Source organism: Homo sapiens, chromosome 6, assembly GCF_000001405.40.
Source record: "Homo sapiens chromosome 6, GRCh38.p14 Primary Assembly".
NCBI classification, from domain to species: Eukaryota; Metazoa; Chordata; class Mammalia; order Primates; family Hominidae; genus Homo; species Homo sapiens.
Window position 1 is genome coordinate 149,195,791 of NC_000006.12, and position 25,779 is coordinate 149,221,569.

Sequence of the window (25,779 nt, forward strand, 5' to 3'; positions counted from 1 at the left end):
TTTGTTGCTTTGGCCTCAAGCTCCTCATAAAAGGGCTTGAAGAAAGTTTATAAAACATGCACAAATAATATGCATAATGTGCAGAAAAGGCCTTGAAAACATGCATACTGAAGAATGTCCATAAAATTTAGAGAAGCTTGTACCTTCTTAAATCTTCTTAACAATGCTACAAGGTAGGTACTGTTATCACCATAACCATCCCCAAGATTCAAAAAGAAAATACTTGAGGAAAAGGCTGGCTGAGTTACCCCAAAGAAGGGAAAGGTAAAACTGCCCCAGTTTCCCTGGGGATGAAGACAAAACATCTCCTAGAAATCTCTTTGAGTCTGGTCTGCCTGGAAATAGCTGTTTCTGGGAAAAGCAATCAGGCTGAATCAAGAGTAACATACTAATTCCAAATCCTCACAATTACATGTTGAGAGCCTGCCTAGATATTCTGGGTGCCACCTTGCAATTGGCCAGTTGTGTTGCTGACAGCTCGGTCCATATCAGGGAAAAGACACACTCTCAGTTGGCGCCTCTTACAGTCACATTAATCCTACTGAAGTGTGGTTCTGGAACACAGCCAGTCTACCCCACTGAGGCAAGGCTTGATGGAGCACAGGCTAGCATGGCTGCACCTGACCAGCTCAGGGGATGAAGGACGGAAGAAGCAGGACAGTTGAAATGTCTGTATGGTGAGTATTCAGGCATCACTATTAACTAAAAAGACACATGGAGCCAGTAGCCCGTGGGATAGCTGTGGAAACACAGACAGGCACCTGGCTCAGAAGAGCTGACAGGGATCCCAAATCGGCTCATTTTAAGTGTAAGTCATGCGGGCTTCAAGACAAAGATGCTAATCCATGAACACGAACAACCTTGGCTCACATAGAGTCATCAACCAAAAGACAGTTTTTATGCTTCCAGAGTGGTGATAGCAGCAAATATTCATAGCTCACCTAACTCTCCCAGCCTCAAATAAGACATAAGAAAAGTTCTAACATAGTCCTTATCTGGAAGGAAGCGTGTCCAGCTAGCAAGGTAAAAGTAACCCTAACCAAACCAGGAGAAGATGTACCACAGCAGATTATGTCTAAACTCTATTGCCCAAATAGTAATGGCCATAACCATTTTGAGGATGCAGAAATTCTTAAGGGTGAGCTGGACCCTCCAGAGTAAGCGATTTAAATTGAGACACAGGCAAGCATCTCATGTAGAAGGAACAACAAAAGCTGAGGCATGTAAAAAGAAAAGAGACTATTGGACATTGAAAATATTGAGAAAGTCAAACCATTCAGTGAAGACAAGGGCCCCCAAACAAGAGATTTACACTTGATAATCAAACCAGAAATTTTCAAACAACTCAAAAATTTCTCCAAGTAGACATTGCAAAGAGTAATGAGAGCACCTGTAGAACATTGTCCTCCCCATCTGGCAGCCCCTACTCAAATATGTCTTAACCAGCGTATTCAGGTTTTGTCTGTTTTATGTGATTCCACGTGAGATTTTGTTTTAGAATAAGTTGCTTTAAAATATTTTTAAACGTTATAGAGACCCTAACAAGGAGAACAAGCAGGATAAGCTACAAAATCATAGTTTTTTAAAAGACAAACATTTGCAGATCAATAAAAGTTGACTTAATTCATGTCCAGCAAGCCAGCACAACAAGAAATGTTAAAAAGTTTTTCAGGTCCAATGGAATTGATACCAGATGGAAGCATAGATCTGCTAGAAACAATAAAGGGTACCAGAAAGACATTTTAAAAAATCAAATACCTAGGAATAAATCTAAAACAATAGCTAGAAGTCCTCTACACTGAAAACTAAAGAATATTTGCTAAGAAAAATTAAACAAGCTGTACATAAATGAAGACTTATACCATGTTCATGGATTGGTAGACTAAATATAATTAAGAAGTCCATTTAGAGTCTCCCTCTTTTGGTCAAGATAGGGAAACATAATTTTCCTTCCCACCTGAAACAACTAAAAAACTAGACAAAATATATAAAACAACAGTTTTCAAGAAAATGGATATCAGGCAATGAAGAAAAATAATTCCTAAGAAAAAAGGAAAAAAATAAGTGAGTAAGGTGAGTCCTATGATTGCTCCAGCATATAACCTTGTATTTCCAGACCATGACAGAGGGAGTGGTAATCTAGGTAGAGCCCAGCAGATTCCTTAAGTTAAGGAGATGAAGTTGATATTCTGGGGAGATCAAGGCAGCTAGAGTTCACAGGGCAGAATACGGGAAAGGAGAGAGCAGCACAGAAAGAAAACTCCAAAAATCTGAGGTGATCCCTTTTGAGTATATATACCAATTTTTTTTTTTCGGTCTACTATTTGTCTTTTGAATGACAAAAGACAAACAATTTTTTAACAATGTATATAATCAAATATGTCTCTCCTTTCCTTTATGACTTCTGGGTTTGCTGTCTTGCTTAAAAAGTCTACTTCATTTCAAGACATTTTATTTTATGAACTTGGCTCATCATTTTAAGGGCATATTCTTTTGGGGGGCCTACAGTACTAGACATAACAACCTTAAAGACAGCAAGAGCAGGAAAGGAATATTTTCAAAAAACCATGCCTGCAGGTGGGGAACAGTTTAGTTATACAGTGGTTAAGAGCTGTAGAGTCAGATGGTCCTGGAGAAGAGTTCCACTTCCTGAGTGAGAATCCTGGGTGAATAACTCTGCGGCCTTTAGGCAAGTTACTTAACCTCCTCTGTCAAAAGGGAGATATTAGTAGCTACTTCATATGCTTATGATAACTAACAACAATGCATGTAAAGCATTTAGCATAGGGCTTAGCACACAGTGAGTGTTCAGTAAGTAATGACTTTTATTACTACTATTACTAGCATAGAAAAACTAGGAGAGGCCGGGCGTGGTGGCATATGCCTGTAATCCCAGCACTTTGGGAGGCCAAAGCAGGGCAGATCACCTGAGGCCAGGAGTTTGAGACCAGCCTGGCCAACATGGTGAAACCCTATCTCAACTAACAACACAAAAAATCAGCCGGGCATGGCGGCACACAGCTGTGATCCCAGCTACTTGAGAGGCTGAGGCAGGAAAATCACTTGAAACCAGGAGGCAGAGATTGCAGTGAGCAGAGATCACAACATTGCACTCCAGCCTGGGCAACGAGAGTGAAGTTCCATTTCAAAAAACATGAAAAGAAAAACTAGGAGAGAATTTTAGGAAGATAGGCTGGGGTTAGACAGTTTGAACTTCGATCTGTCAAGGTTGGAAAACAATGGAAGGTTTACTAGCCAAGGAGTAATATGAGATAGGAAGTATTTAATAAAAATCCATCTCTCTTTAAGGATCTATGGTATCCTTAAAAGGCCATATTTATATTGACTTATGTATCTTTTTATCTGAAAATCCTATCTCAGAAAAAAAAGCACTTCTTAAACACCGTTACACTTTAAAACTTCTTGTGATTTGATCAGATAATGATTATTTCATCAATCTACATCTTATCTTAGGTGAAGATTCTTGTTCCATAATCAAAAACATATTAAATCTTAAAACTCTATAATTTGATTTTTCTATGTTCTTATTTGTAGGGCAGTAGAAATTATTAATCAGCTAAGAACAACTGAGTGGTCATCTCATTGGCTTTCACTACATACCTACAGGCAGATAGAATGTCACCTTCCAGCAGAATGTGTCTGCCCTCTGCATCTGTTATGGACTGAATATTGTGTCCCCGCAAAATTCATTTGTTCAAGCCCTAACTCCCAGTGTGACTATATTTGGAAATCGAGCCTTTAAGAAAAATATTTAAGCTTAAATGAGGTCATAAGGGTGGGGCCCTAATTCGATAGGATTAGTGTCCTTATAAATAGAGACACCACACAGCTCTCTCTCTCTCTCTTTTTTCCCTTTTGCTCTCTCTCAGAGCATGCATGGAGGAAACACCATGTCAGCACACAGCTATGTGGTGGCCACCTATAAGCCAAGAGAAGAGGCCTCAGAATGAAACCAAATTTACTGGCACCTTAATCTTGGACTTTCAGCCCCCAGAACTATGAGAAAATAAATGTCTATTGTTTCAGCCACCCAGTCTGGGTATTTTGTGAAGGTAGCCTCAGCACACTGAGACAGCATCTGATCAAGTACTGACATCCAGAGTCAAACTCTCATTCTATGTTAGATACTAGGATATTTTAATCCAAATTAAAGTTATTTTAAAAGATAAGATTTCTGTTTCTCCATTCTTTCCAAACCAAGGTTGCCCTTGTCTCCAAGGAAGGGATCTCTGGAGCCCACAAGCTGAGGCAGGGTGGAGGAGCACCCTTTCTTCCCATTCGGCAGGGTGCTAGGTCCCTCCTGAGAGAAGCATGGGAGAATGTAGATCTAGAAGCCACGTGGCTGAGTAAATCAAATACTCATGAGAGTTATAAAGCACAAAGAAATATCAATTTCAATTTTTATCCATATCATGAACTCGCAGTTACAGTGTCTTCCTAAAGAAATGACATGGCTTAACTCATAAGCTCCTCTTCCCACCTGCCATTCTCCTTGTTTGGGGTTACTGTTGAGAGACTGAATGTATCATCAGACAACAGCCAGACTGTATATAAAAACAGGTCTCTAACCCACAACCTGCTCAGGAAATCAAACCCCTTATCTCCAATAAACAACCCAGGAAGCCAGCCTGCTGTAAGTCTGACTTGGGAAGCCAGATTGCTATCTCTTTAAACAATCCAAAAAGGTAAATAATAACTTCTGTAACAATCAGCCCCAAGTGCCCAGGACTTGATTAATAATAGATAACTTCCCTAATTTTTGTCCCCACTTCCAATTTAGGACCAACCAGGGAATGCCCTAGCCAATCACATGAGTGATTGGCTCCTAGATAGCCCACCTGCAGCTCCCCCTACCAACAGCCTTCAATTGGGGCACATGGGAAGCTTCTCTGTTTTCCACTAAATGCCTTCCCAGTCCTCTGCCTGCCTTTGATTCTCTGCCAAATGCAGTGACACTGGCTGACTCCTTCGCAATTGCAATCTCTGAATAAATAGCCTCTGCATTTCTCATTTAGTTGGTTTTTGTTCATTTCCAGTGTCTTTTCATCTATTCCCTAGAAGATTGAAAAGATTTTTTTCCCTAATTGCATCTTGAAACATTTTCTTTCATATTTATGAGGCAGATATTGCTTTTTTCCACAATTATAAATTAAAGGGCATATTCCATCCTTTTGACAAATGTGAACTTAAAAAAAATTTTTTTTATTTTACTTTAAGTTCTGGGATACAAGTGCAGAACGTGTAGGTTTGTTACATAGTTATATGTCTGCCACAGTGGTTTGCTGCACTTATCCACCCATCAAATGTGTACTTTAAAGATAGCCCAGAGGTTCCAGGTCCCAGAGTGATAGTTCTAGGCCAGCGATGTGCACACAGGGCCCCTGACCACCTCCCTGTTCTACCCCAGATCCACGTCATTTTTTGAAAAGTATTGGTAGTGACTTCCCCGGTAAGCCTGAGTTCCCAGATCCGACCCTGGCACCCGCAGCTCCCTGTCTTCACTGTGCCATTGCTCGTTAAGCTGCGCTGGTTGCCTGACCCCCCAGGTGTCCCCCCTGGGGACTGGGCACACAGTCTAGGTACTTGTTTTGCTCAAGCCAATGAAAAAGGCATGAGGAACACTTCAAAGGAAGCTTTCAAACTGCTGATCTTGGCAGTTCTGCTGTTTTCAAAGACAACAGAACAGTGGGAAGGAGGAAGATTTCATTTCCCTGGAGCTTCTCTGCTTAGCTCTGGAAACAATAGTAACCAAGTGCATTTTGGGAGGAATCATTTGAACCAGGTCCTTATCTTCATTGCTTGGAATAAGGTTTTATAAAAAACAAAACATCAACAACAACAAGAAAACTCCCCACTTAATTCAAACGCCACATTCATTTTCGTCTGGTTTGTTTCTCATCAATAAAAATGCATAATTAACTCCCTGAAGTTAGGCATTGCTAATGAATAGAAATCCATTTCAATGAATTCATAACCTGTGGGATTTCTGATGTAACCCTGTAATCTACTTCATTGACAAATTTTAAATGACTTGATGGAAGAAAATGAAGGTCCTAAGCTGCTGTTTGATGCTCAGTAGCTTGTTTCTTTTGTTAGTAGGTAGGGAGGCGGACTTCTCAGGCTTTACTATGGCTTACCCTAGGAGGACAACAGCACTCAACATAGGCTCAACAAAGCATCATATTTTTAATCCATCAGCAGTTTTCCAGAAGAATGTTGCTCATAATTAAATAACTTAAAGTAACAGAGAGTTAGCAAGAGAGGAGTCAACACAGGCACAATCTACCCGTCTATCCTCACCCATCTTTAGATATTGGTCAGCAGCTGTCATGGACTGGAGACTCCTGGGACCAATGGCCAATGACTGTGAGGATTGGAAACTGCAGTTCCTTGCTTTGTGTGTAGCTCTCTCCTCTGACTTGAGAATGCTGTTTAAAACGGTCTAGGTATAGTTCTAAACAGCTGACTCATCATTAAGGACAGGTGTCTGCAGAGAAGTCAGCAAGTGCAATTAATGTTAAAAATAAGATAACCTTTCAAAATACTACCCATGCACTACACCTGGCGTGTGGAAAAGAGGGGGCAGTCAATATCCCCTACATGGCCTACTGTTAGCCAGCCGAGCATACACAGAGTATAGGAAAAATACGTAAAACAGATCTTTATTTTGAATTTGAACCATGCATTCTATTATGGGTCCTACTCCAGGTGTTGTCCCATTGTATTCCAGGTGCCTTTCCCAGTTTCCCAGGGTGCAGGCCTGGTAATTGATTCTCTGAGTGACCATGTGGTCACTCCCTTGTAGCCAGTTGACCTCTCTGACTCTGACCTTCCACCCATCCTCCGTTTCCTTCGATCCTCCAGACCTTGGAATCTCTTCTCCTCCTGGCAAGGACTCCTGTCTTGGATGAACTTTAGTCAGGCTCCTCTGAGCCCACAGCTAGGCCTCATCCTTAGTCCTGGCCTTGGCCTGCTGAGCCCAGTTTTAGAAAAAAAAAAAAAAAAAAAGAAGTCCTGCTAAGGCAGCTTATCCAAAATCCCACCCTTGATATCTAACCAAGTTCCTCTTGGTAACTTTCCATTTCACCTCCTCAGCTGCCTGTTGGCTATACACCTCCTCTTGTTTCTGTTGTATCTAGAGTTGAGTTCAACTTCTCTCCCCTATTACAGTAGTGTTGAAGAAAGCCTTCCTTGCCATTTTTAACAAATGTCAGAATAATTTCTCTTTAACCCTTCTCAGACCCAGGGCCCCACCTCTTCTGCACCTGGAGTTCTCTTTGTCTTTAAGTGCTCGTCTCCTTCTTCAGATTAACACCCACTGCCAGGTGCTGGGGCATTGAATCCTGAGTGCTGGAAGAGAAGATAAAGGAAAAGCAGCCTTCTCAGCAGTCTGTTTTCAGGGCTGGGAAGGTGGGATAATCACAGCTTTCCCTACTCCTAAGTTAACGGTTCTGTGGCATCTCCCTTCCTTTTGCTAAGCGTAGCTGTCTTCTTAGTAAACCTGGTCTGGAACCCCAGGAGAAAAACAGGGGAAGAAAAAAAAAAAAGCAAGCCCTCATTTGTGATATCGGAAGAACTGAAAAACCTTACTCCCTGTCCACCACAAAAGAATTATCCTGTATATGGAATTAGAAATAATTAATGTGATTTGAAACTGGTACAAAGCAAACAATCAAAAGGCTCTGCTGAATTACTGGTGCCGTGTGGAAATAAATGGGTTTGGAGTCAGATGGGCCTGAATTTAAAGCCTGCCTCCCCCATCTAGCTTGTCAGGACCTCAAGCAAGCAGGTTAACGCTGGAGCCCAGATGCCTTGTCTGTAAAAATCTCCTATCTCACAAGGTCAGTAAGAGGAATAGATGAGCATCTAACACCATGCTTAGTGCAGGGTTATTTTTTAAAGGTTCATTTTCACTTCCTGACTCTCACTCTGTTTGAGAGACAATGGTTTGGAGACTAGAAAAATATATCGTTCAAAACGTGTGTGATTTTTTTAATCTTCCATGCTTTGATTTTGTGATTTATCTGATGCTAACATTATCATTTAAGAAATCACAATATTTTGTATGTCTTTTAATATTTTATAAGGCAATTCTATTTCTTTCAGTGTAAAATATAGGGACATTTTAAAACATAGTTTTATTTTTTCTGAGCTAACATGTTTTTAGACAGAATGAAGTTATAGTGCCACAATGAGTGAGAGGAAAATAAGAAATTTAGTAGAATGTAAAGTGATAAAACAGTAAACTAAATGTTTACATTTAAGTTCTATTATTTTTCTATGAAAAAATCTAGACATATGCATAAGTAGAGAGAATAGTGTAATGAAACCCCTTGTATCTGTCACCCCGTCTTAACAATTACATTTTGCCAATCTTGTTTTGTCTGTACATCACCCTGCAGTTCTCACCATCCTCTTCACTGGAATGTTTTAAAGCAAATTCTCAACATCATATTTTAGTGCATATTTCCAATAGTGAATTCTTCTTATTTTATATAATCAAATTACTACTAATATAGCTAATAAAATTTAAAAATAATTCCTTATATAGTTCCTATGTATTCTCAATGTCCACTCAATGTTTAAATACCCTGATTGTCTCAAAAGCATCTTTTTACAGTTGACTTGATTGGATCTGGTCCAAATAAGAAATTTGGTCGATATGTTATGTAAGTCTCTTTTAATCTATATCATTCCTCCCTCCTTCCCACCCCATTTGTATTAGTCTGTTCTCACATTGCTATAAATACCTGAGGCTAGGTAATTTATAAAGAAAAGAGGTTTAATTGGCTCACAGTTCTACAGGCTGTATAGGAAGCATGATTCTGGCACCTGCTAGGCTTCTGGGGAGGCCTCAGGAAACTTACAATCATGGCAGAAGGCAAAGGCGAAGCAGGCCCTTCTTACATGACCGGTGTAGGATGGAGAGAAAGGTGGGAGGAGGTGCTACCCATTTTTAAACAACCAGATCTCATGAGAACTCTATCATGAGAACAGCACCAAAGGGGGAATCTGCCCCCATGATCCAATCACCTCCCACCAGGCCCCACCTCTAACATTGGGGATTACAATTGAACATGAGATGTGGGTGGCGATCCAGATCCAAACCATATCACTATTCATGCTATTTGTTGAAAAAACCAAGTCATTTGTCTTATTGAATTTCCCATGCTCTGAATTTGGCTAATTGCATCATTGTGGTGTCATTTAACATACTCCCCATCCCCTGTATTTCCTGTGAGCATGGTTGGATCTAGAGACTTGATCAGATTCCGGTTCAATTTTTCAGCAGAACTTCATGGAAGGAGCTTGTACTTACTATTGATCACCTCAGGAGACACAAAATATCTCTTCTCTAGTGAATTTTCAACCGATCAGTGAAACAAAAAGTTATTTGTATTCCAATCCAGGATAATAACTCTCCATTTATGGTGGAAAGACAAGATTTTTTGAGTCATCCAGACTTGAGACAAAACACTGAACTGTGGCACTATGGACAAGACATTGTGGATTTTCCCATGTTGGGTGCTGGATATTCTTGTATTCCTATAAATATTCTTGAGCTTTGTTCTGGGATGCAGTTACATTACTTGGAAACAGTTTGACTCTTTGGGGTGTTGTTTTTAATATTGTTAGATGGGTCTGGAGCAGCATTAATCGAGAGCTAATTTTGTGCTACTGCTGAAGCAAGCCCTTTGAGTTCTCTACCCAGTGCCCATGCATTAGGAGGGTTTCCAGTCTGGCTGGTGGCCTGTGTGAGCACCAGGCACCATTCCCTCAAAGTCTTTAGGCTGGTTCTTTCCCCAGCCTCACACACAAGCAACGATCAGTCCTCTACTAAGTACAGTGTTACAGGCCTTGAGGTACAGACACTGCAGAAGCCAGACAATAATTCCCATTCCTATGAAATATACAAGTATTGTACAGATTACAACTTCCAAATAAAATGCAAGCAAATGTTGCCAACTTAAACCTCATTCACAAATGGGATTATCTCAACAAACCAAGTCCATTCCCCATGAATGCAGGAAAATAAACAAATATGTGCAAGAGCCCTATCAGATCACAGTATAGAAGGTCTTGTTGAAAGGATTTTTTAAGTAAGTCCCTGCTTTCTCCTTCTCTCATGTAGAAAAAAGCAAAATATACCTTTGCAAGGAGTATTTCCATCGGAAATCATTTTGCTCTCATGGAGGTGGAGAAAAATAATTTAAAACAGATAAAAGAGTGGATCTGGATAACTTTTCTTTTCTTTTAGATCTTAAAAACCATTCACTTCAATACCACGAGCCCATGTAAGAATGCCATTTAAAATAATGATTTTACATTCTCTAAATCTTTGGTATTTGTCATTTTGAGGGAATATCATGTATCATAAGACTGCTTTTATTTTCTTCCCATCAGACAAGATTATCCAAAGCAATTACTAATTAGCTGATTCAGGGCCCATGATAAGAACATACAAGAACTTTAGATGTTGTGTGGCTCCATGGCCCCTTTAAACCTGGGGGGTCCGCAGGTACACAACCAGTAATTTTTCTTAGTGCCAATGGTCGTGTCTCAGGCAGTTTGTACCACATGGGTTGTTGTGGTGGTGGTGGTGATTACTGATGTTCTTTCAAGAACTTTTAGAAGTTCTAGGAACACCGAGAATCAGATTAGCTGTCAGAAGGAGCAGAGAGATTATCCAACATTGGTTATGTATAAGGGATATTAAATACTATTGTTCTCAATAACATTAACAATGAAATATGACAACTTAATAATATAAATCTTAAAGACATACCAGGTCTCTTTAGAGATGAGATAGTTATCTTTATAGTTATGCCCTAAGCATTTCAATTAACTTGACAAGTTATAGCAATAAATACATAAAAGATGCAAAAGTTACATCTTCAATAAAGGGAATGTAGTGGTTTTCTTAATCCAAAATTTTGTTTTATATATGATACGCCCAGTGTTCTCTGTATGTGTGATTGGAAGACGCCATTGCTGGACAGGAGGAAGTGCAGATGCCCTAAACATTTAACCAGGTTCACATAGAACAGTAGGCTCTGCTTTAAGAGGGCAGATTAAGTGCATGTATTTACTTGCTTTCCATGGAATCCCACTTAAATAACACTTGAACAAGTAGAATAAATTCTTAACAGTACTGAGTGCTGTTTTTGACATATTCCTGAAAACCAAATACATGGGATCATATTGATACAAAATCATAGCAAGGAATGACAACTCTTTTCCCCAAAGAGCCCTGTGCCCATCTGCATTAGATTCCCAAGGCTGCCATAACCAAGCACTGGTGCCACAAACAGGGAGGTTTATAACACAGATGTATCTTCTTACAGTCCTGGAGGATAAAAGTTCGAAATAAAGGTACGAGCAAGGTTAGTTCCTTCGGAGAGCTCTGGGGGAAAATATGTTCTGTGCCTTTCTCCCAGCCTCTGGGGTTCCCAGCAGTCCTCGGCGCTCCTTGCATTGTAGACACATCGCTCCAGTCTCTACCTCTGTGGTTATATGGGTTCTCCCTGTGTGTTTCTGTGTGTCTTCATCTCTTCTCCTCCTCTCCTCCTCTTTTTTTTTTTTTGAGATGGTATCTCACTCTGTTGCCTAGGCTGGAGTGCAGCGGCGTGATCTCAGCTCACTGCAACCTCCGCCTCTACAGTTCAAGCGATTCTTCTGCCTCAGCCTCCCAAGTAGCTGGGATTACAGGTGCCCAACACCATGTCCGGCTAATTTTTTTGTATTTTTAGCAGAGACAGGATTTCACCATGTTGGCCAGGCTGGTCTCAAACTCCTGACCTCAGATGATCCGCCCACCTCAGCCTCCCAAACTGTTGGGATTACAGGCATGAGCCACTGAGCCTAGCCTTCTCCTCTTATAAGGACACCAGCGATACTAGATTCAGGGTCCATCCTACTCCAATATGATCTTATCTTAATTACATCTTCAATGACCCTATGCCCAAATAAGGTCACACTCTGAGGTAGCAGGGACTAGAACTTCAACATATCTTTTATCTTTTAGGGGGGCACAATTTAACCTGTAGCACCATCATTCACCTGTTTGCGTTCAGATTAATTTCCTACTCTCTCTCTCTCTCTCTGTCTCTCTCTCTCTCTGCTCTTTCTGTGTCTCAAAGTATTAACTCCTATAATCTATATTTTCCAGACTCCCTTGCCAAACTGGCTTCTGGCTGATGTCAACCAACGGGAGGCACTAGCAAGGGACTGGCAGGAGGGAGAACCGAAGAAGCCAGGGTGATTCTCCCCTCTATCTCTGCCTTGGGCAGTGTTTCCAGTAGCAGCTACATCTACTCCATGATTCTAGTTCCTTCTGGAAGGCTTGCTGTAGCTGGGAGGCTCTCCCAGTATGCAGCAAGGGGGCCAGAGCTGCTAAACTCTGTGAATGCCATCCTCCAACTCGCCTCTGCTTCTAAAATCTGAGTTGCTTCATTCTTCAGTTTGCTCTGTCAGCTCTTCCAAGACTTTTATAATTAATTCCCCTAATTAAATTCTCTCTATTGAACTACCTGGCATAAGTTCTGTTTTCCTGACAGACCCCTGACTGATCAAGCTTCAGGCAATGCCAAGCTCTGAGTCAACTAGTAGAGAACAGGAGTGTGCCAGGGGGCAGACATCAAGGCAAGTATTGAAAGGACCACCAATGGGATAAGAGAGCAGACCCCAGTGCCCCCCTTCCCTCCCCCTGCAAACGCAGCACAACTGTCAGGAGACGTGTGTGGGAAATAATAGCTGTGTGCAAAATCCTTCACGTTTCTTAGTGAGCAGCCAGTAGATACCATCCAATGTTGTTTTCAAAAGGAACTATAAGCATATTTCTAGTGTAATGATGTTACAGTAGACACCAAAATTATTTAAAACATCAATAAATAAAAATTATCTCTCAGGACTTAGACTTAGGGTAGGCAGGAATGGGCTTATTTTGGTTTATTTTCTCTCCTTCTGTGCTATTTGAATGTTGTAAAACTTTTGCCTCTATTACTTTTGGTTGTTGTTGTTGAGACGGAGTCTCGCTCTGTCACCCAGGCTGGAGTGCAGTGGCGAGATCTCGGCTCACTGCAAGCTCCGCCTCCTGGGTTCACGCCATTCTCCTGCCTCAGCCTACCGAGTAGCTGGGACTACAGGTGCCCGCCACGGCGCCCAGCTAATTTTTTGTATCTTTTAGTAGAGACGGGGTTTCACCGTGGTCTCGATCTCCTGACCTCGTGATCCACCCACCTCGGCCTCCCAAAGTGCTGGGATTACAGGCGTGAGCCACTGCGCCCGGCCGCCTCTATTACTTCTTTAATGTTTTAAGCACTAATTTCAAAGATTTGACTGGGTCTTTGTCTAGCTAAGGAACAAGTGATTTTATATCAAGTCTTATTTCCTGGACATAGAAGGGGGAAGGTAGAGATGAAAGAGTGGAGAATTTTGAAGCAGGCATGTGAATAAAGAAGGTAATGGCACTACCCATTGACTAAGTAATTGCTTTACATGTTACACTGTGGATGGGGGAAATCCATGCAGAGGGTGTTTCATGTTAGGAAATATGCCACTCTTTCCAAATGTGATATTTTTGAGAATTACTGTGTGTTAGGCCATTCTTGCATTGCTATATATAAAAAAAAAAAAAACGAAAACCTGAGGCTGGGTAGTTTATAAAGAAAAGAGATTTAATTGGCTCACTGTTCTGCAGGCCGTACAGGAAGCATGGTGCTAGCATCTGCATGATGTCCGGGGAGACCTCAGGAAGCTTACAATCATGGCAGAAGGCAAAGGGGGAGCAAGCATCTCACATGGTGACAGTGGGAGTAAAAGAAAGAGTCAGGGGTTGGGGAGGTGCCACACACTTTTAAACAACCAGAACTCATAAGAACTCACTCACTATTGTGAGGACAGCACCAAGTCATGAGGCATCAGCCCCCATGGCTCAAACACCAGGCCCCACCTCCAACACTGGGGACTACATTTCAACATGAGATTTGGGCAGGACAAATATCCAAACCATATCCTACTGTTCGTTCTTGGGAGATGTGTGAGTGCATTTGATCTATTATTTTTAATCCTCACTCCTACTCCTGCTGTCCAAGACCAGTAAGAAGGAGGAGGCTCATCTACCCCTCCACATTGGCAGAGGGCATGGAAGAGACAGAGCTGAAAGGGCTCAAGACTGCTCTGAACATTTATAGTAAGCCCAGGCATAGCTGCACAGGGTAGATAAGTAGTGCTGGAGTGATTAGAAACTTTCATCTACAACAGCACAGCATAGTTTTTAAAAAAATACATAGGCTTAAGAAAAAGATAAACCTGGGTTTCAGTCTCAGCATTGCCATCTACTACTTGTACTTAAATTCTCTGAACTTCAATCTCCATTTCTGCCAAACAGAGATAACATTTAGTCAACACAGTTTTCATGAAAAATGAGAAAATACATGCAAGGAATTTTATAGAATGTCTTGCACGTAGGAGGACCTCAATAAAACACATCCATTGCTGATGAGGAAATAGGTCAAATAAGGCTCTGCATATCTGGATATAAACAAAAGGTGATTGAGAGGGCTTCTTAGATATTTGTAGGTTTTTCAAAGCACTGACTTGCTTACTACTCCTGCTTTTCTTCCAGGCAGTCAAAGCATATTTCCTGACAATTGTACTGAGTGTTTTAAATAGACTGACAAACAACAGAGACAATCCCATGCAAAGCCAGCCTTCTCAGACCAGCTTGTTGCTAGCTGTGGTTGCAGGGAGCAGATTTAGATGAGTCATATGTTGTAGAAATGGGCAGAAAAGGACTGGAGTCCTCGAGACATAACCCCAGATTCAGAGTGTGACACTAAGTCTGGGGCTCTATTTGTAGTGGGTAGATAGCAGGAAGGTGTTATCCAGACTGTGGCCCAGTGAGGGGACCCAGAGTCCCTAGTCATCTGTTTCCTAATCTCCAAATTGCACTGTCCCTCCTGGAGTCATGCAGACAAAATGGGAAGGGCCTAGGCCAAAGAGAGTCAAAGAGTGAAGAAAAATGGTTAAGAATCTCCTAGGAAGCTTAGTAAACTTCTAACATCAACATTAACAAAATGTTTAAGAGAATGATAATTACAGGTGTCACAGGGCTCACTGTTTGCCTCATAAATAGGGCTAGATTCAACGTGTCTGGCATGTATCTGGAAAACTGGTGAGGTGGACCTGACAAAAGTCTCTTGGATAAAATGTATTCTAAAAGTGAAGAAAATGAGAGACAGATGACTTGACTTAGTCATTGTAGGAGGAAGTAAGTCTGAGTACAGCACTGTGTTCTCACTAAGTTTATCTACCGGTTGTGCCCAGCAAAAACGGAAGTAACGCCGAACTACAGGTGGTCCCTGATGGCCTCAGACAGACTCAGCAATAGGCATGTACAGGGTGAGCAGGAAGGAATACCTGGCAGAAACCTAGTACCCCATGGAGGGGCCTGCCACAAAAGAAGAGAACAAATGAGCATGACATTTGAGAGCTGTAGATGATCAGACTTGTTCAGTATTGCATGGGAGGCATCCTATAGAGATGCCCCATAACAGGACCTGTACCACTGGGCAGCAAAAAGAGATAGGGAACCGTGGGAGGCTATTGTGATCACAACCACTGTTTACTCATAGGCGAATGTGGCCTTGGGAAATGCCAGCACATGAGTAAATGACCATAAATGGTCATTCTTTTGACTGCTAGCTGATGGTTGAAAGCCTCAAAGAAATATACTATAGTCCACAATAACAACTAAATGCAAAGACCTCTGGAAATTTCTACAGATGTATAGACTCTGCTGTTAAGTCAAAGCAGACCTTTGTCTAGACAGCTCTGAGATAGATAACTCTTCTATTTCCTTCTGGCGTCTGCTATCTCTGGGGACTTATAAAGGACCTTGTCTTCCCTGATAAGGTGATATCATTTGATTTATGTATTAATTGGGTTGGGATAGGCTTTGTCAGTAACAGTTTTCTAAAAAAAAGAAATCTCAATGGCTTAATGCAATAAAGACTTACTTCTTGATCACATAGTGCCTGATACAAATTGGGCGGCCCTCCTCCATCTTAAATATATTCCAACTACAGCACATGGTCTCCATGATCATCATAGAAGGGAAAAGAGAGCTAGAGGATCCACAGGAAGATTTTCAGTGCCAGGCCTACCTAGAAATGTTCATCTCACTCCTGTCCATTTTCCCATTGGCCAGAATTGTCCAAGACCCACCTGGCCCATGAAGGCTTGGAAAGGGAGAGGGACACCTGACCACTGGGTGAGCATGAAGAATCTCTGCCACATATTTTCCTTAAACAATTCATCTCTCTCATTAGTTGCCTTGTTTAAATTGCTGTTGTTAAATACATTTAGTTAAGTATTGGCGAATGAATTAGTCAAGAAAGGAGAAATATATTCATCAAGGTTAAAAAAAAATTAAAAGCCGGTACCAGACACATCTTCTTCTGAGTCATCTCAGTGTGATTTATCTAGTAATGAGTTAAATGTTTGCTGTATATTTACCACGGAGTGAGACAGAGCAGCCTTTATGTTCTCAGCAACAGCTTCGAACGCTGCCAGCATTAGAACCTATTTGTTTTATTGAGAAGAGGGATTGTTGGCTGGAACACAAGGGCTCCCCATTACTCTTTCTGGAAAAAGCAATGGGAACTTTAACTTTTCTCTGGACAGCTACCAACATCTATCAGAAGAAACAAGAGTGTAACGTCTCTTTCTGAAGGGCCGCACTTAGAATGCCTAACAGCCTCCCAGCCTCTACTGGTGTCAGCAGTGGATAGAAGTCCAAATGCAAGCTATTCTGTGTTTACTGGAAGTGCTAAAGTGAATCAACCCTATAAACGGAAAACAACAAACTGACCTGACCTGGAATACTAAATGAAACCGAAGTCCAAAGGTACCAAGCTCAAAATCAAGAGCAGAGGCATTCAAGTGTACCCTCTTCCCCCCAGGATTAATTCTGAGTTCAGACAGAGACATATTCTATGACCTCAAGTAGAAGACTTCATGTCTCTGCACTTTGGCTAACTCAAGGTCAAACTCAAGTCTCTATCAAAGTTTTCTACTTCTCAAAGTTGAGTTTTCTAAAACTCTTTTTTTCAACTGACTGCTGACTTTAAATCTTCCACATGGCTTCCTTCAGCTTCAGTAGACTATCTGCTTCCTCCTAATTCACAGAGAAAACTGAGAAACGAGTGAGAAAACTCCCAACTCTGTCCACACTGCCCACAAGTTTTTCAGCCAAGTATTTTCCACTTCCTGTCCTGTTCATTCCTCCACCCACCACTGCCTGGCTTCCACCTTCGCTGCACCACTGAAGCTGCTCTGGTTAACACTGCTGCTGCCTTAACCTGAAGAACACTTGTAAATCCCTGTCTCATTTGACCTTCCCTTGGCATTCAGTACGGCTGTTGACCATTTCTTCACTTTCCATTCTGCTGGTTCCTGGTTCTCCAGGTTTCTGGTTCCCCTAACACCTACCAAGTCTCTTTAATGCCTTCTTAAATGTTGCTGTTGCCCCAGGTATCCCATTTAGCTCTCGGCTAATTCATTGAACAAGGCTTTCTTGAATGAGGAAGAACTTAGTGGAAAGGCTAAAGCCAATCAGCTCCTCAGAGTGAAAACGGGCACAAGGGTTGGCACCAGAAAAACAGAATAGAATAAGATCCACCCCTGTCCTCATGGACCTATGCTCTGGATCTCATTTGATTGCCCCAGCATCTACCCAGGCGCCCACGCTGAAAACTGTCACACTCACAGCCAAAAGATCCCCGAATACAGTCACATCTGTCTTTTGAAAATCTTTTGCATCTGCTCACTCTGCTTCCTCTGTGTGGTCATCAGCTGAGTTCCAGCTTTTGTCATCCATCACCTGGACCAATGGCAATAAATCTTCCTTGTTCACTCTGACTCCAGCCTCACGTCCCTCCAATCTTTCCTGCATATTGCATTCACAATGATTTTTAAAACACTCAATGTGGTCACATCATTCTTCATTCAAATCTTTTCAGTAGTTCCCCCATCATCTCCTTACGAGGCTTCTCATGAGCTGGCTCTCACCAGCTTCTCCTGTATCTCTTCTACTACTCTCCTGCGCACATCATAGCCTCCAAAATTAATAACCACCTTAGAGTTTCCCTGAGTGTTGACATGTTATCACACTTACACAGCAATAGCCTTAAGAAATCCTTTACAATCATGTGACTGAGATTCTTCATGTTATCTATGTAGTTTACTTTTTATACCACAAGTCTTGCACATAAAAGCACATTGACTTACTCATCTAACAGGCATCTCAAACTTAACTTATCTGACACAGAAAAACCTGCTCTTTCCTGCTCTTCTCCATCTTCACTGCTCAGGCCCGAAAACTCGGAGGCAAACACAATTCCTCTCCCTTTCCAATATGTCCAAATCAGCTGTCAACTCCATACCCAATATATAGCCCAAAGCAATCCACTTCACTCCATCACCATGGCTGTCTCCACAGTCCATGTCACAGTCTCCAGATGACTATAAAACTTCCCAGCAAGTCTCCCTGCATCCAGTCTTGCCCCCTTAGAATCCATTCTCCACACTGCAACCCACGTGATCATCTAGGAACATAAATCCTATCATGTCACTCCTTGTTTAAGACCCTCCGATGGTTTCCTTGAAACTTAGAGGAAATTTCAAACACTTTCAGAGCCCTGTGTGAATCAGCCACACCCTCCCCACTCCTCCTGTGTACCCCTGTCTTTCCCGCACCCTCTGTGCTCCAGTCACACTGAACTTCCTTCTGTCTCAAACACACCAGCCTTATTCCCACCTCAGACCCTCGCAGTGGCTGTTCCCTCTCCATGAGATGCCCTTCTTGCAGAGGCCGGCTCCCTCCTGATGTTAGATGCCAGCTTAAATATCACCTCTTCAGAAAAGCCTTTCAGGATTACCATGCCTAATGCACCTTCATCACATCACCCTGTCCTATTGGTATTATGGCTCTTACCACTGCCTGACTTTAAATCAGCTCTCTCCCCTCATGAAAGTATAAGGCCCCAAGGGCAGGAACTTGTTTATTACTATATCTAGTGGTGGTATCCAAATTATTTAACAACAGGTCTGGCATAGACTCCAACCCATCAGAAGGGATGCCCATCTGTAAACCCTCAGCTGGCCTGACTGCAAAGTAGTCACTGGACATCAGCCTTCTTGTGTCCTGCATCTGAACAGTGTGACTCTCAATACATGTCAGTTGAATGGGTGAATGAATAAATTAACAACTGTTTCTTGGTTAGGTTCACTGTTCCATCAGGAACACAGGCCTTCACTGTTTTTCTTAAAAAATATATTTATTTATATATTTATTTTTGAGACTGGGTCTGGCTCTGTCACCCAGGTGGAGTGCAGTTACATGATCACAGCTCACTGCAGCCTCAACTTCCCAGGCTCCAGCGTTCCTTCCTCATTAGCCTCACAGGTAGCTGGGACCACAGGCACATGCCACCACATCTGGCTAATTTTTGTATTTTTGGCCGAGATGGGGTTTCACCATGTTGCCCAGGCTGGTCTCGAACTCCTGAGCTCAAGCAATCCACCCGCCTTAGCCTCCCAAAGTGCTGGGATTACAGGTGTGAGCCACCGTCCCCAGCCACAGGTCTCCATTACTAAAGAAGGGTGTACTGAGCCCCTACATGTCCAGGCCTGATCTGCACCCACTGAGAGGCCCCTCGGTTTTCCTGCACAGGTTACTTCTCTTCAGGGACTGTTGTTGTTTTTAAATTTTATTTGAACCAGTAGCTCTGGAATTTGGGTAGGATGATTTCCGCCCAAGTCCTTGACATCCACCAGTGTTTACTTCCTTTTTGTGCATTCTGTGGGCACCCACGGCTGAACAATAGTGAGAGGGGCTCTGAAACTGATTTCAGAAGATGGGGTTCAAGGTCAAGCAATATCACATGCCAGCTGTGAGTCGTCAGGTCTTGGACAGATTATTTAAGTTCTCTGAGTCTACTTTTCCATCTTTAAAATAGGCACATAATAATGGCCTACCTCCCGGGATGGCTGAAGGACTGTATGAGATGGTACACAGCAAAGTATCAAACCAGCCACACCTAGCATTTGAGAGCCATATGTGTTAATTTCATTTTGCTCACCACTTCTCTTCAGAGTTGTTATGAAAATCAAATGAAATAATACACATGCAGCTGCTCTGCAAACCATATGTAATGTTCAGATTATTGATAATAAATTATCCCTGATTTGAGAAATCAGGTGGCTTTCCAGAAATTATGAAGAGCTGGAAAGGAACTTTAGGCCTTGTGGTGGCAAAGTCAGTGCTCCAGCCAAGGAGGCCCATGCTCTGCTTAGCTAAACGGCCCTCCCTGGAGATAGCATCATTGGAGGGCAATCTTAGTATGTCATACAAGGTTGCTAGGTGCTAAAAATATAGACTTGCCAGTTTCCTACAGAGAAGGAGGGTTTTCTGCTGGGTTCAAGCATTACTCTAGCAGCAAGATCTGGGGGCACCTTCTCTTTTATCTCTCCTCCGAATCAAATGTCTTGCCCTTTATTTGAAAATAAAGCTCTCCCAGCACTTTGGGAGGCTGAGGTAGGTGAATCACTTAAGCTCAGGAGTTTGAGACCAGCCTGGGTAACAAGGCAGAGCCCCATCTCTGCAAAAAAAAAAAAAAAAAAAAAAAAAAAAGAAAGGAAAAACACTCAGCCAGGTGTGGTGGCACTTGCCTGTAGTCCCTGCTACAAGGGAGGATGGCTTGAGCTTGGGAGGTTGAGGCTGCAGTGAGCTGAGTTCGTGCCACTGCATTCCAGCCTGTCTTAAAAAACAAAAGAAAAGAAAGCTCCCTGGGGCTCTCACCTCTCTCATTCATCCAGGCTTTCCCCAGTTCCTGGAATTCTGTCTCCTTCTGCCTTCTCCGGCCACTAGACCACCTCATATGGAAATTCAGACCGTGACCTGAGCAGCCCTATGGAGCTACACATGTCACTTCCTGCTCTCTTCATAGTCACATGCTAGTACACAGCAGCCCCGACCTAGTCACAGCTACCTGCAGTGGGGCCCTCACCCTAAAAGCCCCACCAATACCGACACACAGCCAGTTACCTTGATTTGGAGACATTAAGGTTCTCAGAAGATCACTTAAGCCCTTAAATCAACAAAGTAGTTCTTGATGCGGCCCACAGCGAGGTTTCTTACCAACGCTCTGTCTAACAGCTTCAACCAACTATTTTTGCTAACTAGGTACTAAACTTTTAAAGTCATTATTTAAGTCTTTTGTGCCTCCTAAATTCACTGCCTTGGAGCAAATCCCTGGTCATGAACCTCTGGTTGCCCCCTTGCCCAGACTTTCTCAGAGAGAAAGGTAGGAATGGGTCCCAGAGTTGATGTCTCCACTTAAAACCCATCTGCCACTTACAAACTATTGACCTTCGGCAAATCATTTCATTTCTCCATGCCTCCGTTTCCTCATAGATAAAACTGGTGATGATCATGATGATGTTACCTACATCACAGAGTTTTTGTAGGAAATTAAGAAAATGTCTGTGAGGTGCTCAGCTCAGCACAGTGCCTCGCACATTCACAGTAAGTAAAGAATATGTCTTAATTTTAGTATTAGTATTACTGTTTAGCTCAGGAGTAAGCAAATTAAGGCCCAAGTGTCAAATCCTACCACACACATTCATTTACATATTGTCAATGCATGTTTTCACTACAATAGCAGAGTTGAGTGATTGAAACAGAGACAGCATGGCCACAAAGCCTAAAATATTAACTAGCTGGCCCTTTACAGAAAAAGTTTGGCAACTCTGGGTTTAGCCTGTTGTATCTCTCCTTCCTGGCCAGATGGTGAGACCAGCATAAAAACCACTGGTGACAGAGGCTGTTAGTTGCCTCCCAATACCCAGTTTTCTCTTCCTGTATAGTAATAGAATCCTCTCCCCTTTTTAGCCTGCACATGATGCCTGGAATAAAGACTGCATTTCCCAGACTCCCTTGCTACTAGATACAGCCATGTGACTGAGTCCTGGCCAATGGGATGTAATTTTAACTACTTTATGCATTTTTTCTTGGGGGAAAATAAAATTCTTATAGGACTTCCTTTTCCTCCTTTCTGGAGTCTGAAATGTTAAGTATGGAGGCAAAAGCTGAAGCTGGAGCAACAGTCTCAGAATATGACAACAACCATGAGAATGGAGGCCATTCATAGCAGAACTACGAGACAAGAGGAGCCTAGGTCCCTGAGCTGCAGAACTGCATACTAACCTGGTATGCATCTTATTTGAGCAATTTTGGGCTTTCTGCACTCAGTGATGATTTGTTAGTCTTAAAAAATATACTAGACAAATCTTTAAAGAAGAGTAGAAAGCTTATTGTTAGTTAGCCCTCAATGGCTCTTGTTTGACACTACCTAAAAATTCTTTGCAGTAAATTTTGTACTCGGATAGGTTGGTTCTTGGCCACACAGAACAATGTATTCTTGCAGAAGGCCAAAAGAACACTGCACATGTTTTATGTTTATTCAGGGAAAAGGATTAATACTCATTCAAGGAAAAAAAGATTTATTAAAAGGCTTAATCAGGGACAAAAAAGAGACTCATTTGGAATTAAGATTTAAAAGAAGATGAAAGAACAAGCAAAAGAAGAGTGGCATTAAGCCTGAAAAGAGAATCCAAGTCTTGGACTGACACTGGTTCAAGTTGGGTCTCTGGCTCATGCTTCCAAAAGGAGCTGTCCTCTTAGAAGCAAGCCCTCCAGTGGGACAGGGTCAGGGTAGGGGTTGAAAGACACTCTTATATTCTTACAGATGAGAAGACTAATGCTCAGTGAGGTGAACTCCTTCAGGGCCACAGGCTGTAAAGATCTAAACACCATCTGATCCAGTTTCAATATGACTGCCTGGATGAAGAAGGATTTGAGACTAAGTTTATTCCTCCAAAGCAAACCAACTGAGAATGCAGGTAAGGCAGGAAACAGTCATTGTTTCTGGAGAAAGGATCTTCTGTGATCTTGTGTCTGAAGTCTGTTTGAACTTCTGTAGAAATGCCTGGGAAATGCACACTGTGAGTAAAGAAAGGAGACCTAGTACTTTTTAAAATGCCATTGAAATCTGTGACTGTAAAGGAAAGAGACTGCTTGCATCCTGCCAGCAAAAAACAGATTTAGAAAAGAAAGAGCTGTGTCCAGGAAACTTGTGAACTTTCTGTTTGGATGGCATATATTTTCTTTATAAACCCTCTTTCATTGTCACTTACTCAGTTACTAATTACAATAGTCTCTGGGGATGATTGGGCTGGGAGCGTTCAGTGACAACCAGATAGTTAAAGGACATACAGAACACTTCCCAAAATTCAAACCACTGCAGAGCCCAGAAGCTTCACAGTTAGAAAATCTCTGTTCTCAATGAGGCAAGGCCACCATTTCCCATAGTTGTGCCAAATCCGCTTCCAGGGTTAACTTTTGCTTACCAAGTGTTTCATATTTTAACATTTGTGTGTGTGTGTGTGTGTGTGTGTGTGTGTGTGTGTACTGGGACAAGTATATAAGTAAACAGTGTCACACTTTATAACTAACAACTGTATGTGTTATTACCCCATTTTACAGATAAGGAAACTAAGGTCAAACTTAAGAGACTAGTTTGCCCAGATTGCCCGCTAGTAAAGTGGCCTTATTGAGATACCAACTGAGTTATTGTTCATTCAAACCTGCTCTTTAAATTATTTCTCTTTTTTAAAAATGAAGAGCTGGAGAAAATTTCTTATGACCAACTAAAGTCAGAGAAGTCTGTGCTGTTTTGTTTTCAAAGTTACCCAGTACTTTATGTTGCCTTTATTTTTAATCAGTGGCTCTGATTCACCCGCTGCACCTTATGCATTGATGTGGTATCCTAGAAACAGTTTACTCTTGTTTCAAAGAAATTATTCTCCATATCCTGACTGGCCAGATTCTTTCATTACTTTTGATAGTTCCCAGTGTGTTTCTGATAGACCTGAAAGTCCCAAGAGACCCTTACCGTACTCTGTAGACAAGCAATTCTCAATTTTTTTCAATGTCAGGACCTCTTTACGCTCTTAAAAATTATCGAAAACCCCAAAGAACTTTTGTTTATGTGGGTCAGATCCATTGACATATACCATTCTGGAATTTAAAACTGGGAAATTTTTAAACAATTGATTAATTTATTTTTTAAAAATAATAACCTTATCACGTTTGCATAAATAACATTTTCATGAAGCTTAAGCCATGTTTAAAAAAATGAGTAAGATGTGTATGTTTTTATAAATCTCTAATGGTTGACTTAATAGAAGACAGCGTATGGGTTCTCATACCTTCTTTTGTATTCAATCTGTTACGCTGTCTTGGTTGAAATATGTAAAGAAAATTCAGCTCTATACAGATATGTAGTTGGAAAAAGGAGGAATATTTTTATAAACCTTTCAGATACTTGTGGATATCCTTCTTTAATGCCATTCAAAAACTCAAAACTCAACAAGTGGTAGTTTTTTTAAAAAGATTAATTGCAAATGGAATCAAATTCATTATCAATGAACTTTTCCTGCTCTGTTACTTTAAACTCCATTGGACTATATTTCACTATGAATACACACACGATTACGGGACACCATGCGTTGGTCATTTGGAAGCTCACTGAGCTATTCAGATCTTCCAAATGTTGGCATATTGTATTATATAATATCCCCAAAGATTACATCTATTAATATCACTACAAATAGCATCAGAAAAGTTCTGAAGTTTTGGGAAGCTGTCAGGCCCACAGTGGAAAATTCAAGTTGGGTTTTTGATTGTTCATTTGCTTTTTGTGACAGAGTCTTGCTCTGTCGCCTAGGCTGGAGTGCAGTGGCGCAATCTTGGTTCACTATAACTCTGATCCCCGGGCTCCAGCAATCCTCCCACCTCGGCCTCCCGCGTAGCTGTGACTATAAGCACACACCACCATGCCCGGCTAATTTTTGCATTTTTTGTAGAGACAGGGTCTTGCTATGTTGCCCAGGCCAGTCTCAAACTCCTGGGTTCAAGCAATCCACTCGCCTTGGCCTCTTAAAGCACTGGGATTACAAGCGTGAACCACCATGCCTGGCTGAAGATTCAAGTTTTTAAAACATCTGATTTCCACTTGAAACCTTGAATTGTATCATTGGCAACAAATAATGTCAGTTATTTTCCTTGAGATGACAACTTCACTTAGTTATTTTCAAGAAAACTGCTGCCATGTAGCCAACTGTGAATGACCACAGTTTGCCTGTCAGTCATTCTGTCAAGTAAAATGGTGCTCCTCAAACAAAGCAGCACGTTTAGCTCACAACTCAACAACCACACAGCAGTCTTCCTCCCACCCACCATGGCACTTATATTAATATAAGCAGCAGAGGTGCTTTATGTATGAGTATTGTGTGAAAATACTCAAAAGACCTGTAACCAAGGGTCAAGATTACTACAATTAATTTCTACTGCTTCCTAAGGGCATTCTTAAGTGACACTAGCATATTTTACAAGCCAGAGTGTAACAATGAGCACAATGACTGCTACCACAGCTTGCTGCCAGCCATTGCCTTGACTTGTCCTAAAACACAGCCATTTTCATCCGCCTCCATGGCTACTGCATCATCAGTGCAAAGTCAACCCAGTAAAAAAGGCAAATAGCATCTCCGTGTTATCATAAAAATAGTTTTGACCTCATGGCTCCCCTTAAAGGGCTTGGGGCATCACAGAGAGCCACTGCTACAGCCAACTGA

General features: G+C 41.7%; 1 protein-coding gene across 2 annotated transcripts in view, besides 2 other annotated features; it reads left to right on the plus strand.

Annotated features, from left to right (window-relative positions):
- Nucleotides 17,302–17,421: an enhancer, noted in NCBI's record as "active region_25248". NCBI's record gives its function as "activates an Ori minimal core promoter by ATAC-STARR-seq in GM12878 lymphoblastoid cells {active_cell/tissue: GM12878}" and the evidence as "EXISTENCE:reporter gene assay evidence [ECO:0000049][PMID:35858748]".
- Nucleotides 21,987–22,076: an enhancer, noted in NCBI's record as "active region_25249". NCBI's record gives its function as "activates an Ori minimal core promoter by ATAC-STARR-seq in GM12878 lymphoblastoid cells {active_cell/tissue: GM12878}" and the evidence as "EXISTENCE:reporter gene assay evidence [ECO:0000049][PMID:35858748]".
- TAB2 (TGF-beta activated kinase 1 (MAP3K7) binding protein 2) overlaps nucleotides 22,136–25,779 on the plus strand; it is a 193,682-nt gene continuing 190,038 nt past the window's right edge. For both annotated transcript variants that reach the window (NR_125861.2, NM_001292035.3), the window contains exons 1-2: nucleotides 22,136–22,294; nucleotides 22,833–22,986. Coding sequence is in view for 1 of the 2 variants with exons in the window: in NM_001292035.3 (NP_001278964.1) it covers nucleotides 22,981–22,986 (6 nt within the window). In the remaining variant the exon portion in view is untranslated. The remainder of the gene's footprint in view (nucleotides 22,295–22,832; nucleotides 22,987–25,779) is intronic.